The following is a 2,116-nucleotide window of genomic DNA, read 5'->3' as shown; positions in this document are numbered from 1 at the left end:
GTTGTAGAAAGACTGAAAATTAAGTAATGATGATTAAGTATTAGGTAAATGGTAACTCAAAGAAAGCAGATATATCAATACTGAGAATGGACAAAAGAGAATTCAAGGTGAAGTACATTAAAAGGGGAGAAGGGATAATGGATGCTGATAACATTATAGGCCAATAAGAAGATACAGCAGTCATAAAACTGCCACATGGCTTTAGAAACTTTTAAAGTAAAAGCTGATATAAATACCAGTTGAGTGTTTCATTCACCAATTGAGAATTTCACAGTGGTAGACACTTACGCAAGCCTTTTAGAAAGTGATTAAGTGAGTAAAAGTTAGGAAAGATGTAAGTCAAAGGTAGCAAACTTTTTCTGCAAAGAGCCAGATAAGAAATATTTTAGACTTGAAGGCCATGTGTCTCTGTCACACAAGTGAACCCTGCTACTGTAATGTGAAAGCAACCATTAACAATATGATGTAGGCCCAGCACTTTGGGAGGCCCAGGCGGGCAGATCACCTGAGGTCAGGAGTTCAATACCAGCCTGGACAACATGGCGAAACCCCGTCTCTACTAAAAATACAAAAACTAGCCAGGTGTGGTGGCACGTGCCTGTAGTCCCAGCTACTTGGGCGGCTGAGGCAGGAGAATCGCTTGAACCCAGGAGGCAGAGGTTGCAGTGAGCTGAGATCGCACCACTGCACTCCAGCCTGGGTGACATAGTGAGACTCTGTCTCAAAAAAAAAAAAGTATATATATATATGATTTAGCTGTGTTTCAATAAAACTTAGTTTATAGCTACAGGTGATAGATGATATTTGGCCTGTCACTGTACTTTGCTAACCTCTGATACAGATAATTTAAATAACAAAACAAAAAACCTGATCATATACAAGGCAATCATTAAACAAATAAGACTTACAGGTTACAATTCGAAATCAGCTACTTCCACCCCAAATCAATACACTGTGGAGCTACTCTTTCCCTCTCCTTGGGTGAAATCTACGATTTTTATAATCACTTTAAGAAACTAAACAAATTCTTCAATCACGTTGACTCACAATGCACACCTAATTCAGTAGCTAAAATATCCAGCTCCATCCGATAGTTGAAACTCTGAGCCTTATTCTACATTAGAGTTTCAGCCTCACTCCAGGCAGCCTATTTCCCGTCTTGATAGGAAGCCTTCAGTGGGAAGGAAAGGAGGGGAGCATAGGTGACTTCTGCAATACTTTCCCTGCTTATGAGTCTATTGCTTCTCCCTCCTACTCACTGGGCTCTTCCAATGCCACAGCAGGGAAGGAAGGGAAAGGGAGGGACAAAAAGGCTTTGTTGATTGATGCTGATATAATTAAAGCTATGGCAGATGTTAAAACTTATTCTTTCTTTGAAGAGTATATAGGTTCCTTTGGAGACAGCTAAAAATTGGTTCCCTTGAGGCATTTAAAAAAATATCCTGTTGTTGGTAACTCAGGTCCAGATATGCCTTTTTCCTCTTTTCACAGAGGTCGCCTTCCCCTCACCCCAGATAGCCATCTTGAGCTGTTTCTAAAATGACCCCTGCTGATCTCTTCCTATGGGTAACACCTAGTCACTCAGCTTAAAGAGTATAAGTACATGAATTGTGATGCTAAACCCCAATTATGGCCACAGTATTTCGTTTGCATCAATGAATGAGGCTTGTTTACTTTGCAAATCTATGAAACCTTTGATAATATGAGTGGGACAGCAGAATCAACATCTGTGTGTCTGTGTGCTAATATTATCTGGGATTAAAACTTTAGGATTAGTTAATTTACGCATAGCCAATCATAGTAAATGTTCAAAAAAGAATCATACACCCAGAGAATCAATCACAGAAAAGGGGTTTCTTGCTATAGATAAGGAAAGCCTTAAGATTCATAGTTCAAAGGCACTTTCTCCCACTGCAGGGTCCCAGCTTTTCTTCTGTTCTAACACTTGAGGAATCTGACTAGACACTACAGACCTGGTTCTGACAATAGTCATTGTACTGGACTCCATCTACAATGAAGATTTATGCTGCTGCTGGGAAGGGAAGCATCCCTTTAAAGGAACTTTATCACTACTACCCCAAATAATATGTGTGTAGTAGGTATATTAATAAGAACA

General features: G+C 39.7%; 1 annotated feature.

Moving 5' to 3' along the window:
- Positions 1,016–1,861: an enhancer, noted in NCBI's record as "NANOG hESC enhancer chr3:147680118-147680963 (GRCh37/hg19 assembly coordinates)". NCBI's record gives its function as "activates a minimal SCP1, AML or CMV promoter by ChIP-STARR-seq in naive H9 embryonic stem cells {active_cell/tissue: H9 hESC(naive)}" and the evidence as "EXISTENCE:reporter gene assay evidence [ECO:0000049][PMID:30033119]".

This window comes from Homo sapiens, chromosome 3, assembly GCF_000001405.40.
Source record: "Homo sapiens chromosome 3, GRCh38.p14 Primary Assembly".
NCBI lineage: Eukaryota > Metazoa > Chordata > Mammalia > Primates > Hominidae > Homo > Homo sapiens.
This window is presented reverse-complemented; position numbering and strand designations above follow the sequence as displayed.